The sequence below is a fragment of the Homo sapiens genome, chromosome 4 (assembly GCF_000001405.40).
Source record: "Homo sapiens chromosome 4, GRCh38.p14 Primary Assembly".
In the NCBI taxonomy this organism is placed as follows: Eukaryota; Metazoa; Chordata; class Mammalia; order Primates; family Hominidae; genus Homo; species Homo sapiens.
Window position 1 is genome coordinate 118,181,868 of NC_000004.12, and position 16,969 is coordinate 118,198,836.

Sequence of the window (16,969 nt, forward strand, 5' to 3'; positions counted from 1 at the left end):
TTTAAGGGATTCAACAAATAAAATAAACCAAAATTTTAAACCAAAGGTATACCTAATAGGTGACTCAGGACAAAAATTAATAAGCCTTTTATGATTTAACCAAGGATTCACAAGTCATCTCTGCAGAGGTGCAAAAATGCAGCCCTCTCAAGGTCCAGAGCCACTTCCCAAAGACAGCCAAAAGAGAAAAAGATTCAGACAATGCTTTGAGAGCTGGCAATAGTAGGTATGCTAGCTACACATGGGGTTCAAGCCACATTTTTGTCTGGCCATATTTTGGGGGCCAGACCACTTTTCAGTTGGTTCATCATGGAAGCAGGCCCAATAAAATGCATGCCCTGACAGGCAGGAAGCCAAGCCAAGTTCTCGGGACACGAATTGAAACAAACAGGAAAACAAAAGCTGTTCATGGGAGGGAAGGATTAGTAACAAATTGGTACCCCAAGACCAAAAGGCACAATTCAAACATTTTTCGTATAGTGACTCAAACCAATAATACTATGGAAAGTTCAATTCCAGAGACTAAGACAGCAAAGACTTCCATTGCCACAGGTAGTAATGACAGTATTTATGTAAATGGTATCTCCAGTCTCCCACAAAAAATCTGGGATGCCTCCAGTCACAAATACAGTAATCTGTGACAACAGGCAAATGATACTGGGATGGGAGTTTCCCTTTACTAACCAAGCAATGAGGACAAGGACTTCTTATAAGACAAACTCCCCTGAGAATTGAAATGATCAAAGGAAACCTCTGGGTTCTAGGCCATTCAGCTGGCTGCCTGACACAAGCCAACACTTTGCACTTTCCTAAAATGGAACAGAGAGAATGTCTTCAATGGTCACAAAGCCAAGATCTCAGGATATAAAACAAAAGAGAATCTCAGGATATAAGACAAAAGGAGAATCTCATCCAGTTTTTGACTCAGTTACCTACAGCAAAGTTAGTTTAACTAAACAGAAGTCTGGTAAGAACTACAAATCCACCAGCCTGTCAGGCCAGTTTGAGCAACAACCTTAGAAAGCCTATGCCTGTGCTCCTTGCCCTGTGATTCTGCTGTTTATGATAAACAATACAAAAGACAGACAACAGAAAACAAGGCAGCATCTCTGCAAGGGAAGGGATCAGAAAATAAGACTACTCATACCAAACAAACAAACAAACAATCACCAGATTCACTATACCCAGCAACTCGTACATACGGATGATTTTCTCCTGCTAACCTGAATTTTGGAAAGAAGAGATGAGAAAATTTTACCTTCCATTCTCCACCAGACGACACTACAGGCAGAGATCCAGGAGGGCTGTCCTTGGAAAACAATGTTTACCATTTCTTTGCTGGCTTTTCATCTGTTGTTCCAGAATCTCATCTGCAGGCTCTGGAGCAAGTCAAGTGTCCCAGCTGCCCCACATTGGGCACCAGAACTATAGGAATAATTGACTAAATCACTGGGCACATGATTGAGCTCGGTTTCCAGCCCTTCTCTTCTTTCTCATCCTTCTGAGGATTCAAGGATACTGGTGATATCATTTGATTCAAAGCTCCACCAGTCTAATCAAATGGTCGGTCTTTCTGGCAGGGCCTATCCCCATCCCAAATCATTTCATTAGTATAAGCTATCTAGGGCCCCACCATGAATCATCTCACTAGTATAAGCTATCTGGACCCACCATGAATAACAAAGAACTCCTATCATTTGGGAAATTTCAGAGAACTAGTTTTCCTCTCAAGAACTAGAGACAAACACTAATCAAATTCTCCATTACACAACAATCTTCAAGTGGATGAATGACCAAAGGTTTTTTACCACCTCCCTTGCAAGACAAGTGGTTCAGGATCTCACTCTGGAATTTAGGATAATTGCTATTGTCTTCTGGCCTCGGATGAAAACTCAGTCTAAAACATATTTACATATGTTGCATATTTACATCCTCTTAATCGTAAATTGGCTAAGCCTGCATGACTGCAGAAGGGCCAGCAGATCTGTGGCTTCTATGTGCGTCAGGCTGGGAAAAGGGCACCTTGACTAAGTTTGGAAACCCAGAAATCTTGGCTGTAGCCTGCACAGATGTACCACGGGGCACTCACTCAAATGCAAAGTCCTACCACTTACTCACGGTGCTAGAAGGGTGGCTCAGGCCACCCCTCACTCACAGAACTCCTGTTCCAATTTTAGTTTTACAGAGTCTCACTTCTCTCTCCTCTTCTTACCTAGCAAAATAATGTCAAAAAACTAGATGTAAGGAGAATGAAGTTGACAAAACAGTTTAAAGAATCATTTCATTGCACATGGCACTGAAGAACAAAATGAAATCATTTCTTTAAAAAGTATTCATCCTCTGCCATGGTTAATCTTACGTGTCAGTTTGGTAAGGCCATGGTACTCAGATATTTGTTCAAATATTATTCTAGGTGTTTCTGTGCAGGTATTTCTTTAGATGAGATAACATTTAAATCAGTAGCCTATGAGTAAAGCAGATTACCCTCCATAATGTGGGTGGGCCTCATCCAAATACTTAAAAGCCTTAATAGAAAAAGACTGACCTCCCCAGAAGAGGAAATTCTCCCAGCAGATTGTGCTTGGACTCAAACTGCAACTCTTCTCTGTGTCTCCAGCCCTGCAAATCTGGGGCTTACCAAGTCTCTATAGTCACAAGCCAATTCCTCAAAATAAATCTCTGTCTGTCTGTCTCTCATTTTCTCTCTGTCTCCCTTTGTCTCTCTCTCTCTCTCTACACACACACACACACACACACACACACACACACACACACATATTCTCTGTCTCTGTTGGTTCTGTTTCTCTAGAGAACCCTAAGACATTTTTAATATTGTATAACAATATGCAATATTAAGTATACATAATTTATTAGTAGAAATGTGCTTTCATTCTATGCATCAAAGGAATACTCTGTACTATGTACTTACTTGCTGTAAGCATGTTTGTGGTCTGCATTTTCACATGTGCCCTCTGACTATGAAAGCTGCATAATTACAAACTATCTCCAGGCCTTTCCATTTTCCATGAAGTGGCTTTTTCTTTATTACTTACCTTTTATTTCTGCATTCCTACTCAACTGGCAAATAAATTGAGGCACAAATGAATAAGACTTTCTACTTTAATTTAAGGATAATAAATATGAGTCACTAAATTTTTGTACAACATATCCTATTAGTTTCTTATATTTCGTTAAGAGACACCAATGCTAAAGAGACATGTAACAGGGAATAGCTGTTTAATAACATCAAAGAATGTTAAAATATAATTGAAATGATGGGTACATATGCTACTGTACATTTTTTAAATGTATATTGAATTTCAAAGAAATATTTGATATATGTTACCATTAATTATTTAATATGGAAGAAAGCATTTTACTTCATGCTGTGTGTATATACAAACTAAACACATTTTTAATTGTCTATGCATTTAAATTATTTATGAACATAAGGGAAGCTTACCAAATTTAGTTCACTTTAACAGGAAATCAAATGCACTGGTGTAATAAAATTTGTGATGATAAATGCTTGTAAATTAAAGCCAATAAGTATAAGATAAAGTGGTATCTAATAATATGTATATTATACATTTATTATAAATTATATATATTAATTTTATAACATACATATGATATATGTAGATATCATTAAAAGAAAAACCTTAGACAAATTAAATTTAACAGTTTAATTGAGCAAAGAACAATTTGCAAATCAGGCAGCCTCTTGAGCCAGGGTACATTCAGAGAGATTCCAGTGCAGCCACATGGTTGAAGATTTATGGACAGAAAAAGGAAAGTGATGTACAGAACATGGAAGTGGGGTACAGAAACAGCCAGATTGGTTGGTTACAGTTCAGCATTTGCCTAATTTGGACATGGCTTGAATAGTTGGCTACCTTTCATTGGCCAAAACTCAGTGATTGACACAAGAATGGGTTTATTTATTTACATCTCCATTTACATTATAGTTCACTATGTATAGAGAACCCTTTAGGCTGCACTTAAAGTATGTAAGGAGGCATATGCTTTATGCTAAACTTAACAATTTCCCCTCTAAAATTAAGAGGATGACCAAAACTTTAGTCATTGATGTCACTATTACCATCATAATTTTACTTATTTGGTCTTGAAACCCAGTGGGAAAACAGTGGGTTTTATAAAGTAGAAACAAGCACTTCAGGTTATTTTTTGGGTAACGGTCAGAGGAGAGGGTACCTCCTTGTTTTGGAATCTTCTGCTTACAGGAGAAAAACAAAATCTGGTCTGTTTTAGGACCTATCTACTTCCTTAAAGTTTCAGTTTGATTGTGTCATATTTAGCATGAGTGACTCCATTTTAGTTTGGTCTGGTCTGCTGGGGCCTACTGTACAAACTCAGTCTAAAACAATGGCTCCCATAATTTTCTTTAAAAAAATTCCTCCATTTTGATTAACTTCTCTGTATTAGTCAGAGTTCTCTAGAGGGACAGAACTAATAAGATAGATGCATATAAAAAGGGAAGTTTATTAAGCAGTATTAATGCACACGATCACAAGGTCTCACAATAGGCCGTCTGCAAGCCAAGGAGCAAGGAAGCCAGTTTGAGTCCCAAAGCTGAAGGACTTGGAGTCTAATGTTCGAGGACAGGAGGCGTCCAGCACAGAAAAAAATGTAGGCTGAGAGGCTAAGCCAGTCTGATCTCTCCACGTTGTTCTGCCTGCTTTTATTCTGATCACATTGGCAGCTGATTAGATTGTGCCCACTCAGATTAAAGTGGGTCTGCCTTTCCCAGCCCACTGACTTAAATGTTAATCTCCTTTGGCAACACCTTCACAGACACACCCAGGATCAATACTTTGCATCCTTCAATCCAGTCAAGTTGACACTCAGTATTAACCATCACATTCTCACTTAGGTAACGGTGTGACAAAACTTAGGGCCTTAGTGCCACTTCAGTTACCATCATTTTGGGTTTCTAGTTTCAGCACATCATTCATAAGTCATCATGTCCTCATGGTCACACATTTCTTTAAGCTTTTGTCATTACAGTTCAGGAGAGACCATTTGACATTCTTGAGATGGCTGCATGCAAACATTCAAAACTTTTTAAAGAAAACAGCACATGAGGGAGACTACTATTATGACCATGAGGAGGATAATACCAAGAGTTTGGAGTATGCTTTTTAGCCAGAGTCCCCATGAACCAATCCAACTACAATTAAATAGATCAAAGAATTAGCTAGACAAAGAGTCTACTCATTTCAACCAGGTAGCCTGTTCATTAATCCCCTAGAAATGAATCTCTATAATACCCAATGTATTCCTTCACGTACAACTAGAAGTACCAGCAACTATACAGATACTTCTGTTTAGCCAGCAAGTAATCTAGAGCAATTCAATTATTTAGCATAACTTTCACAAGAGAATTTTAAGTCTGTTGTGTAGCCAGAGCTTTTGCAGTAGAATCTGCTACAGAGCCTATCATGAGGGATAAATTTCTAATCATTGCCTCATCTACTCCCAACCACAGAAAGAGCGATCTAACAAATGATATCCATCCAAAAGAGAGAAGATCTCCTGTAAAGGTTTTCTTTAATCCATGATGTACCTTAAGAGGAGTGGACCAATGTTCTGTTTTTGATTGACTATGAAGGAACAAGGCTAACATTTGTTGTTCGTATTGGTCCTTCATCTTTCATCTCTCAAGGCATAAGGTTGTCCATGTGGAAGTTTGGCTGCGAAATCTTCCACAAATAAAAGTATACCCCAAGAGGGCACATAAGAGACCCCCTTTTTAGCTCTATTGTTGTTAGAGACATAAGCAAGAAAAAATGAGAGATTAAGAGTTTCATAACAGCAGACAATTCTTGATCCATGATCTTGGGAAAAAGCCATCCACATCAATGATGCCATCTTCTTGGGGAGAAACCTCCCTGGTTAGCTTTACCTTAAGAGTTCCAATGGGCATACATTTCCAAGACTGTGGAATGACCCTTCTCAGTTGTGAGATTATGAAGCCAAGACTCAAGTTCCCAAAGTTTTGCTGCAGTGTGGATGGCAAGAGCAATCTTTCTCTGATGTTGCTCCCAGAAGACCCAGTCTTCATATTCTAGATTATTAAGGGGTTGATTGTCCTCAGTCAGTGGACCATAAAAAGCTTTCTTTAACTGGTGAAAATACACTTTGGCCTAATGAGCTACTGTTACAACATCAGCCCTCTTGCCTAGGAAAGCTTTTATACAACCAGAAAACATACATTGAAAATGAAAATTGAATGAAATCCCTCTATAAATGTTTAAATGGCCCATCAGGTAACAGAAATGTACCTGAAGTTTAGATTATCTTCCTAGGAATATGGGTTTAACAAACCAAACATTGATCATAAACTATTTTAGCAATTTAGGACAGTTACACCACCTATAAATATCATTAATATATGATATATTTATTATATATTATTAATATATAATATATTAATAATTTATATATTAATTTGGATTCCTTTATCATTTCCATGATGAATCATGGATTGTACAGCTTTTAATAATGAAAACTTTAAAGACTCAGAAAAGACAAAGCAGCCATCTAAGTTCTCCCTGAGTCCACATTTAACATTGGACTTATGTCCTCTTAAATCCAGTTGTTTCTCCGATTTAGGTGCAGAGCACTGATAACTAATAGGCTATCGCAGATAATTTGACTTGCACCATGGAGTTTATTCAAATTGCATATCTAAACAGTAGTGGCTGATTTAGCATGAAAATCTGAGAAAGTATTTTCTTGATATTCAATTAATTTTTGTCTTGCTTGGGTTAGCAGTTTTAAAAACCAGTCAGTTTCTCATTAGATTTCTGGGAATTCTTATCCAGGCTTCATAATATGATCCAAAAGTTATCACAAACCTATATCCAAGAGTGCTTACCAGGGTGCTTTGAATCCTTTCATGAACCTCCTTAAAAACACAGTACCCTAAGATTCTATGTGCTTGTGAAGTTTTCAAAAACTGCATCAGAATTAAGCAATTAACTGTAGAAATGACTTTAAATGGTCATAGTTAAAGACAATTGACAAGGAAATTTGGTTATTTCTTTGACCTATAAAATAACTTCACATAATAACCATAACTGTGTAGCATATACTGAGATATATTAGAATTTTAGAAATCTGATATAATTTTAGAACATATATTAATAATATATTCATTAAAATATAACTTTTTTTTGAGATAAGTCTCACTCTGTTACCCAGACTAGAGTGCAGTGCCACAATCTTGGCTCACTGCAACCTCTGCATCCCAGGCTCAAGTGACCCTCCCACCCCAGCTTCCCAAGTAGCTGGGACCACAGGTACACGCCAGCATGCCTGGCTAAGTTTTTGTATTTTTAGTAGAGATGGGGTTTGCCCATGTTGCCCAGGCTGGTCTTGAACTCCTGAGCTCAGGTGCTCTGCCTGTCTCAGCCTCTCAAAGTGCTGGGATTACAGGCATGAGCCACAGCATCCAGCCAATAACTTGAAGAAAGTTAAACATTTCTTATTTGTCACTGCTTCCCATGTAATTCAACATGTCAAATAATCCTATTTATGTCTTTTTTGGATGTTTCAGGAGCCCTCTGTAGCATCCCAAAATTGAAGGTCAAAAAACACAATACTGAAGCTGAAATTTGATTTGGGGAAGCCTGTCAAATATGTCAAAGGTTTAAAATACTTAACACAAATATGATTATAAGTAACCATAAAATAATAGTCATTTTTTTAGCCAATGTAATAATTAAAAGATTTTTTAAAACCAAAACCTTTACTCTTTGATAGAGGAGACTCAGTTTTCCAACCAAACGACCTAAGAAAGATAGCCTGAGACAGAATGTCTCTCCTCTCTTCTATTTTTTATAGTTTACTCAAAGGCGAACAAAGATATTTTACTGTCATTTATTAATACTCCATTGAAATTTTCCTCAAAAGAGAAAACCAAATTTTATTTTTAGATTACTGTATTATCAATGCTAAAGCTAATTGTAATAAAACTTATAACTAAATCTATGAAATTTGTCATCTTTCGACCACACAAGATTTCCATAGGTCTTTTATGTTTTACATTTTTCCCCAACTTCCTAGGTTTATGTAATTTTGCCTATTTTTTAGTCCTTCAATTTGAAATGTTTAAATAACTTCAAACTAGATAAAAAAAATTTTAAATACACATTTTATGTCTTTATTAGTTTCCTCATCAAAAGCATATCTTGCTTTTGTTTATACATTCTGTATACAGAATTGTTTCATATCTAGTAGTAGTAATATAATTATATATAAACTCTAATTTAACTATTAGAACCCTAATTTATAGTGAAAACTCTGAAAGTAATTTTGAACTGTTTTATATCAGTATTTACAAATAAAAACCATTTTATAATTTTTTTCAAAAGATGGTTCAAGTTATTGTTTTTTAACAGACCTAAATATATTTAGCTTTTCTGTACAATATAAAAAAAGTCAAGGTATATAGAATTAAACTCATGTTTAATAAGTAATATTTCAGTTTTTAACTTACAAATGATTCAGATATTTTATGTCTATGTGTTAATTAATTTAGCATAGTATGTAAGATTTGAAATGACTGAAATAAATTTTGAAACTATGACACAGGTACCTTCCCTAATGTCTTCCCCAGTCATCTTGGGTCCCAAGTAGCCATGTGGCATCCAGGAGGACTATGAAGGGTAGGGCCTGTCTGAGTCCTGAATTTGCATACCAGGTATAGAGGTCAGGACAGAAGACAGAGCTGTGAAGACTATACCTGGAGAATCTAACCACTCCCGAAGTAACCAGGAGGCAAAGCTGGGGCAGGGAAGAAAGGGCCATATTGGGTTTGACTTTGCTGCATAGTTGCTGGTCTAGGCACTGAAAACATGTCTCCAGACCTCACCATGGCCACCTATGCAGACCCCCAAACCCAGAGGCTCTGAACCAAAACATAAGCTCCACAGTCAAATCAAGCAAGTATCAAATTATATTCAATTGTATTTTGAAGTCATTCCTATTTTACCAAGAATTTTAAAACAAGTTTTATTTATCAAATATTATCACATACGCATAATACATATAGACCTACAAACACACAGACAGAAGCAGATTTTATACCTTTCTTAAAGGATTCTCATTTGCCAGTTTTTAAAGAGTTTTTCTTTTCCCCATTCAGCCTATCAATCTTCCAATTACCTATTTTGTCACCCTAAGCCATTGTTAACTAGGCAACAAATTTGCATTTCTAAAGGGAAAACTCTTAGGTGAAGCAAGAAAATTTCTATTTCAAAAGCACAGAGCTAACACTTTAGGCCTAAATACAGTACCATTTGCTCAAACCAAGGGGAAAGTGGTGTAAGTAAAAGTTAAGTTAGATAAGACGGCCAGAAAAGCACCTTAAACAGATATATGACTTGTGCAAATTAAAACAATGGGAAGAGTTTCTAATGTACATAGGCAGACATCTTACAAATGGAGATTTCCTTTATAGGTGTGAATTTCTTTTACAAAAGGGTTTCAGGAAAGCCAGTTAAATTCCAGAAAGGTGTATTCCAGTTTGATAGGTGGTGATCTTTTAAACTTAGCTATTGTTTCTTAGCTAAAATTACTGAGTTCAGGATGGAGTCCATTAAGGAATAGAGCAAAGAAAGCATTCTCTAGGCCTGGACTCAGCATGGATGGGTCTGAAAAAGCAAGGCTACTTTTCCCAAGGGCCTACTTAATTTTTGTGGGTATATAGTAGGTGTATATGGGGTACATGAGATGTATTGAAACAGGAATGCAATGTGTAATAATTACATAATGGAAAATGGGAATTGCATCCCCTCAAGCATTTGTGTAAAAAACAATTCAATTATGCTCTTTTAGTAATTTAAAAACATACAATTAAAATATTATTGACTATTGTCACCTTGCTGTACTATCAAATACTAGTTTGATAGTAGGATTGCTGAATCATACGGTAAGCCTATTTTAAGTTTTCTGAGGAATCTCCAAACTGTTCTCCACAGTAGTTGTACTAATTTACATTCCCACCAATAATGTATGAGGGTTCTCTTTTCTCCAATTCCTCACCAGCATTTATTATTGACTGTCTTTTGGATATAAGCCATTTTAACTAGGGTCAGATAATATCTCACTGTAGTTTTGATTTGCACTTCTCTGATGATCAATGATGTTGAGCACTTTTTCATATGCCTATTTGCTGTTTCTATACCTTCCTTTGAGAAATGTCTTTTCAAATCCTTTGCACATTTTTTATCAAATTATTATATTTTTTCCTACAGTGCTGTTTGAGCTACTTATACATTCCGCTTATTAATCCCTTGTCAGATGGGGAGTTTACAAATATTTTCTCCCATTCTGTGGGTAGTCTCTTCACTTTGTTGATTGTTTCCTTCACTGTGCAGAAGCTTTTTAGCTTAATGTGATCCCATTTGTCTATTTTTGGTTGGTTGCCTGTGCTTGTGGGGTATTACTCAAGAAATTTTGCCCAGATCAATGTCTTAGAGAGTTCCCCAATGTTTTCTTGTAGTAGTTTCACAGTTTGAGGTCTCAGGTTTAAGTCTTTAATCCATTTTGATTTGATTTTTTTATGTGGCGAGAGATAGGCATCTAGTTTCATTCTTCTGCATATGGATATCCAGTTTTTCCAGCACTATTTATTGAAGAGATTGTCTTTTCCCCAGTGTATGTTCTTGACACCTTTGTCAAAAATGAGTTTACTGTAGGTGTATGAATTTGTTTCTGGGTTCTCTATTCTGTTTCATTGATGTATTTGTCTGTTTTAATGCCAACAACATGCTGTTTTGGTTACTACAGATCTGTAGTATAATTTGTTTTTTGTGGGTTTTTTTTTTTGTTTTTATTGTTTCCACTTTATTGCTCTAGCATGGAACTTCAGGCAAGCCTGGACCTTCATCAACATGCAAAGAAGAGGCTGAGGGGGTTTGGGGACACAACCTGGCTGAGAGGGAAAACTGACAGGGGAAATACCAGAACGGGGGACAGGGGGTGGTCACCATGACACCAGGAGACAGCATCAGCCATGCCATCTGGGGTGAGGAAGGGAACAGAGAAGAAATGGTGTTTCTTCCCATGTCCCTAACACCCACATGGAGGCCACATTTGGAAATGGACTGGGAGAGGGAAAGGATGAGGAAAACAGCTGCCCAGGAGTCTCCTTCTCCACCCTGGGTTCATATCAGACCCCATCCCTACCACTTGCCTCTTCTACCCCTGGAAAATGGACCTAACAAACAGAAGGAGCAAAATAAATTAACACTCTAATGAGCATGTATGGATGGACATATGTTCATGTGCAATGGGGGAAGGGAAGAGGGGGTGACACCACCTAAAATGATTCCCCACCTCAATCTCCCAGCCTACTCCTTTCCCCCTTCCCCCTAAAGCCACCATCCAACCAGATAGAAAAATAAAGGTCTAATTCACTCAAAATTCTTCAGTTTTTACAAAACTAACAGGGCAGAGTAGGGAGACGGGGGGCAGGCAGCCACAGGAGTAGGGCTGGTGGAGAGGGGCTATGCTTCTGTCTCCACTTGAGACTGGCTCTCTGTGGTGTTGCTCTTCTGCTCCTCCATCTCTGTGTCAGTGAGATTGTCTCCTGAGGAAGCCTCTGCCTTGGCCTTGTTCTCTTCCTCAGCCAGCCTCTCAAACGTGTTGGCGTAGAGCGTCTTCTCCCAGGCAAGCTGCCTGCAGATCTGCTGCTGGCACACAGCCAGCTGGGCCTTGGCGGCTTCGTTGTTGGGGTAGAGCTGCAAGACCTTCTGGAAGTCAGCCTGTGCCAGTTCAAAGTCATTCACAGCCAGGTGGGCCTCTCCCCAATGGAAGAGGCCCTTCTCGTTGTTGCTGCCCAGTTCCAGGGCCTTGTTACAGCTTTCAGTGGCAGCAGAGAAGGCCTGTAGTTTCAGATGACACATGGCCAGGTTGAGGTAAGAGGCCAGTTGAAGGGCCTGTGCCTTCTGTGTTTCCTCATTGGAAAAACTAGACTCATATTCTACCCAGGACACAATCCTCTTATATTATAGTAAAGCTTGCTTGTATTTGCCTTCCTTGAAGTACACAGTGTCCCACTCTTTCACTGTGGTGCTCTGCTCCAGCTTCTCTTCTGAATTCATCTCCCAAGACTCCTTGGTCTTTTCAAAACTCTTGAGGTGTAATTCATATTTCAGCTAGGCATTTGGTGGGATTTGGAACTTTTCCTTCCTAACACTGCCAAAAGCATAGCTGGGTTTGAGGTACACAATGGAATGTTCTCCTTTCTACATGCACTGAATGGCCCTCTCCAGACCATAAGGCAGATCCAGATTCTCCTGATGTTCAAAGAACTAGTCCTTGTAGCACCCTTCCAGTGCAATCTCCATGATAGCACCCTCATTGGGCCTGGGATAGCCTTCACCGCAAGTCTGTAATTCTGTAGATGATTCCGCCATCTTCTTCTTCCGTCAGATCTTCTCCCTTAAACTCAAACAACTCCACCTCAAACACGAGTGTGGCATTGGGGAGATCTTTGGAGGACTGCCTGCTGCACCGAAGGCATATTCTGGTTTGCAGGTGATATGGCACACCTCCCCTGCCTTCATGGCTGCTATGGCAATGTCCCAAGCCTTGTTGACCTCCCCTTTTCCCAGGTCAAAGGAGAATTTGTCCTTGTGATCCAGACTGGGGTCAAAGTTTGTGCCATCTAACAGCCAGCCAGTGTAGTGGACAAAGATTCAGTCCCCAATCATGGGCATCTCTGTACCTGTGCCCTCTCTCGATGACCTTCAGCATGCCTTCCTCCTGTTTGGGCGAATGTCCACTCCCTCCATGGGAAGAGGCGCCAACTGTGTCCCATTCTCAGTCTCCTTCATCTCCTCAACTGTCATCTCCACGCAGCGCACCCTTTCTGGGAGCTGGCACCGGCACCAGCATACTCTGAGCCAAAGGCAGGGGTGCTACCTTCAGGGTGTGCAGGAGGCCAGGTGCTGTGGTGCTGACTGCGGACCACATGGAGGCTGGAGCACCTCTGCCAGTCTGTAGTATGATTTGAAGTCAGGTAATGTGATTCTCTCCAGTTTTGTTCTTTTTGCTCAGGATAGCTTTGACTATTCTGGATCTTTTGTTGTACCATGTAAATTTTAGGATAGTTTTTTATTATTAATATTTCTGTGAAGAATGTCATTGGTATTTTGAAAGGGACTGCAATGAATATGTAGATTGCTTTGGGTGATATTGACATTTTAACAAAATTGATTCTTCCCATCCATGAACATGGAATGTATTTCTCTTTTTTGGTGTCCTCTTCAATCTCTTTTATCAGTGTTTTATAGTTTTCATTGTAGAGATCATTTCTTTGGTTAAATCCTAGGTGATATGGTTTGGCTGTGTCCCTACCCAAATCTCACCTTGAATTGTAATAGTCTCCACTTGTCAAGGGTGGGGCCAGGTGGAGATAATTGTATAATGGGGGCAGTTCCCCCATACTGTTCTCATGGTAGTGAATAAGTCTCATGGGATCTAATAGTTTTATAAATGGGAGTTCCCCTGTACAAGCTCTCTTGCCTGCCACCATGTAAGACATGCCTTTGCTTCTTCTTTGCCTTCTGCCATGATTGTGAGGCCTTCCCAGCCTTGTGGAACTGTATGTCCATTAAACCTTTTTCCTTTATAATTTACCCAGTCTGGGGTATGACTTTATTAGCTGCATGAGAACAGACTAATATGCTACATATCTAATTTTATTTGTGGCTATTATAATTAGGATTACTTTCTTGATTTCTTTTTCACACTGTTCACTATTAGCATATACAAATGCTACTGATTTTTGTATGTTGGTTTTGTATCCTGCAACTTTACAAAATTTATCAGTTCTAATAGTTTTTTGGTGGCGTCTTTGGGTTTTCCCAAATATAAGATACCATCTGCAAACAAGGATAACGTGACTTCTTCCTTTCCAGTTGGATGCCCTTTATTTCTTCCTCTTGTCTGATTGCTGTAGCTAGGACTTCTAGTACTATGTTGAATAACAGTGGTGAAAGTGGGCATCCTTGTCATGATCCAGATGGGAGAGGGAAGGTTTTCAGGTTTTCCCCATTCAGTATGGTTTTAGCTATGGGTCTGTCACATATGGTTTTAATTATGTTAAGGTATGCTCCTTCTATACGCAGTTTTTTGAGGGTTTTTCATGAAGGGATGTTGAATTGTATCAAATGCTTTTTTAACATCTACTGACATGATCATACGGATTTGTCCATCATTCTACTGATATGATGTATCACATTGATTGATTTGTGTATGTTGGAACATCCTTGCAAGCCAGAGATAAATCCCACTTGGTCATGATGAATGACCTTTTTTACCATATTAGTGAATTTGGTTTGCTAATACCTTGTTGAGGCCTTTTGCATCAAGATTCATCAGAGATACTGGCCTGTAGTTTTCTTTTTTTGATGTGTCTATGTCTGGTTTTGGTATCAGAGTAATACTGGCTTCATAGTATGTGCTGGGAAGTAGTCCCTCCTCCTCTATTTTTTCAGAATTGTTTCAGTAGGATTGCTATTAGTTATTTTTTAAATGTTTAGCATAATTCAGTATTGAAGTCATTGGGTCCTGGGCTTTTATTTACAGGGAGATTTTTAATTACAACTTCAATCATGTTACTTGTTATTGGTCTGTTCAAGTTTTGGATTTCTTCATGGTTCAATCTTGGTAGGTTGTATGCATCTAGGAATTTGCCCATTTCTTCTAGATTTTCCAATTTTTTGGCATACAGTTGCTCACAGTAGCCAGAAATTATCATATGAATTTCTGCATTATCAGTTATAATATCTCCTTTTTCATCTCTGATTTTACATATTTGGATCTTCTTTTTTTTTCTTAGGCAAGCTAAAAGTTTCTCAATTTTCTTTATCTTTAAAAAAACTTTTCGATTCATTGATCTTTTGTATTGTCTTCTTCATTTCAATTTGATTTATTTCTGCTCTGATCTTTATTATTCCTTTTCTTCTACTAATTTTGGATTTGGTTTGCTCTTGCTTTTCTACTTCTTTGAGGTGCATCATTAGGTTGTTTATTTGAAGTTTTTTTTTTTTTTAATGTAGGCACTTATAGCTATAAGCTTCCCTATTAGTACTGCTTTTGCTGTATTCCATACAACAAAATGGTATGTTGTGTTTCCATTATCATTTTTTCCAAGAAATTTTTCAATTTCCATCTTAATTTCTTCATTTACCCACTGGTTGTTCAGGGGCATATTGTTTACTTTCCATGTGTTTGTATAGTTTTCAAAATTCCTCTTGTTATTGATTTCTAGTTTTATTCCATTGTGGTCAGAGAATGTGCTTGATATGATTAACATTTTTTTGAATGTTTTAAGACTTGTTTTGTGACCTAACATATGATCTGTCCTTCAGAATAATCTATATGCTGGGGAAAAGAATGTGTATTCTGCAGTCTTTGAAGGAAATGTTCTGTAACTATCTATTAGATGTTTCTTTGTTGATTTTCTGTCTAGAAGATTGATGCAGTGTTGAAAGTGGGATGTTGAAATCTCCAGCTATTATTATATTGGGGTCTACTTCTCTCTTTAGCTCTAATAATATTTTCTTTATACATCTAGGTGCTCCAGCATTCAGTGCATATATATTTAAAATCGTTATATCCTCTTGCTGAATTGAACCCCTTATCATTATATAGTGACCTTCTTTGTCTATTCTTACAGTTTTTGTCTTGAAATCTATTTTGTCTGATATGAATATAGCTGCTTCTGCTCTTTTTTGGTTTCCATGGACTTGGAATATCTTTTCCATCCCTTTATTTTCCATGTGTGTTTTATAGGTGAAGTCTGTTTCTTGTGGGCAACAGATCATTGGGTCTCAGTTTTTGGGGGGTTTTTTGGTGTGTTTTGTTTTGTTTTTTGTTTATTTTTTGGCTTTTGGCTTTTTTTTTTTTTTTGAGATGGAGTCTCACTCTGTCACCAGGCTGGAGTACGGTGGCACGATCTCGGCTTGCTGCAACCTCCGCCTCCTGGATTCAAGCAATTCTCCTGCCTCAGCCTCCTGAGTAGCTGAGACTACAGACACACACCACCACGCCCAGCTAATTTTTGTATTTTTAGTAGAGACAGGGTTTCACCATGTTGGCCAGGATGGTCTTGATCTCTTGACCAAGTGATATGCCCACCTCAGCCTCCCAAAGTGCTGGGATTACAGGCGTGAGCCACCACACCTGGCCTCATTGTTTTTTTATTCCTTCAGCTACTCTGTGTCCTTTGAAGAACTGTGTCCATTTACATTCAATTTATAGATAAGTAAGGACTTACCCCTGCCATTTTGTGATTTGTTTTCTGGCTGTTTTGTGGTCTTCTCTTCCTTCTTTCTTTCCTTCATGTCTTTCTTTTTGCGAAGGTAATTTTCATTGGTGATATGATTTAGTTAGTTGCTTTTTATTTTTTGTGTCTCCATTGTATGTTTTTTGATTTGAGGGTATCATGAAGCTTGCAAATACTACGTTATAACCCATTATTTTAAGCTGATAATAACACTGTTTGCATAAACAAACTAACAAAAAGAAAATTTACAAAGACTTCCTGCATTAACTTTGTGCCCCTGCTTTAAGTTTTTGTTACTATTTATATCTTATTGTAATATGTCTTGAAAAGTTGTTGTAGTTACTATGTTTGATTGGTAAGTCATTTAATCTTTCTCCTTAAATAACAGTAGTTTACACACCACATTTACAGTGCTATAATATTCTGTTTTTCTGCAGACTATTACTAGTGGATTTTGTACCTTCAGGTGATTATTTATTGCTCATTAATGTCCTTTTCTTTCTTATTAAAGTACTCCCTTTAGCATTTCTTGTAAAAAAAAAAGTCTGATGTTGATGAAATCCCTCAACTTTTTTTTTGTCTAGGAAAGTCTTTATTTTTTCTTCATTCTTGAAGGATATTTTCACCAGATATACTATTCTA

The 16,969-nt window shown here is 37.9% G+C and overlaps 1 protein-coding gene, 1 long non-coding RNA gene and 1 pseudogene across 12 annotated transcripts in view, besides 3 other annotated features; 1 reads left to right on the forward strand and 2 right to left on the reverse strand.

The window, feature by feature from the left end:
* NDST3 (N-deacetylase and N-sulfotransferase 3) overlaps positions 1-16,969 on the forward strand; it is a 225,313-nt gene that overhangs the window by 148,546 nt on the left and 59,798 nt on the right. The gene's annotated exons all lie outside the window — the stretch shown is intronic.
* LOC107986307 (uncharacterized) overlaps positions 1-16,969 on the reverse strand; it is a 149,690-nt gene that overhangs the window by 127,131 nt on the left and 5,590 nt on the right. The window lies entirely within an intron of this gene.
* Positions 9,085-9,767: an enhancer, noted in NCBI's record as "OCT4-NANOG hESC enhancer chr4:119112107-119112789 (GRCh37/hg19 assembly coordinates)". NCBI's record gives its function as "activates a minimal SCP1, AML or CMV promoter by ChIP-STARR-seq in primed H9 embryonic stem cells {active_cell/tissue: H9 hESC(primed)}" and the evidence as "EXISTENCE:reporter gene assay evidence [ECO:0000049][PMID:30033119]".
* FKBP4P1 (FKBP prolyl isomerase 4 pseudogene 1) lies at positions 10,860-13,028 on the reverse strand (annotated as a pseudogene).
* Positions 12,050-12,550: an enhancer, noted in NCBI's record as "H3K27ac hESC enhancer chr4:119115072-119115572 (GRCh37/hg19 assembly coordinates)". NCBI's record gives its function as "activates a minimal SCP1, AML or CMV promoter by ChIP-STARR-seq in naive H9 embryonic stem cells {active_cell/tissue: H9 hESC(naive)}" and the evidence as "EXISTENCE:reporter gene assay evidence [ECO:0000049][PMID:30033119]".
* Positions 12,551-13,051: an enhancer, noted in NCBI's record as "H3K27ac hESC enhancer chr4:119115573-119116073 (GRCh37/hg19 assembly coordinates)". NCBI's record gives its function as "activates a minimal SCP1, AML or CMV promoter by ChIP-STARR-seq in naive H9 embryonic stem cells {active_cell/tissue: H9 hESC(naive)}" and the evidence as "EXISTENCE:reporter gene assay evidence [ECO:0000049][PMID:30033119]".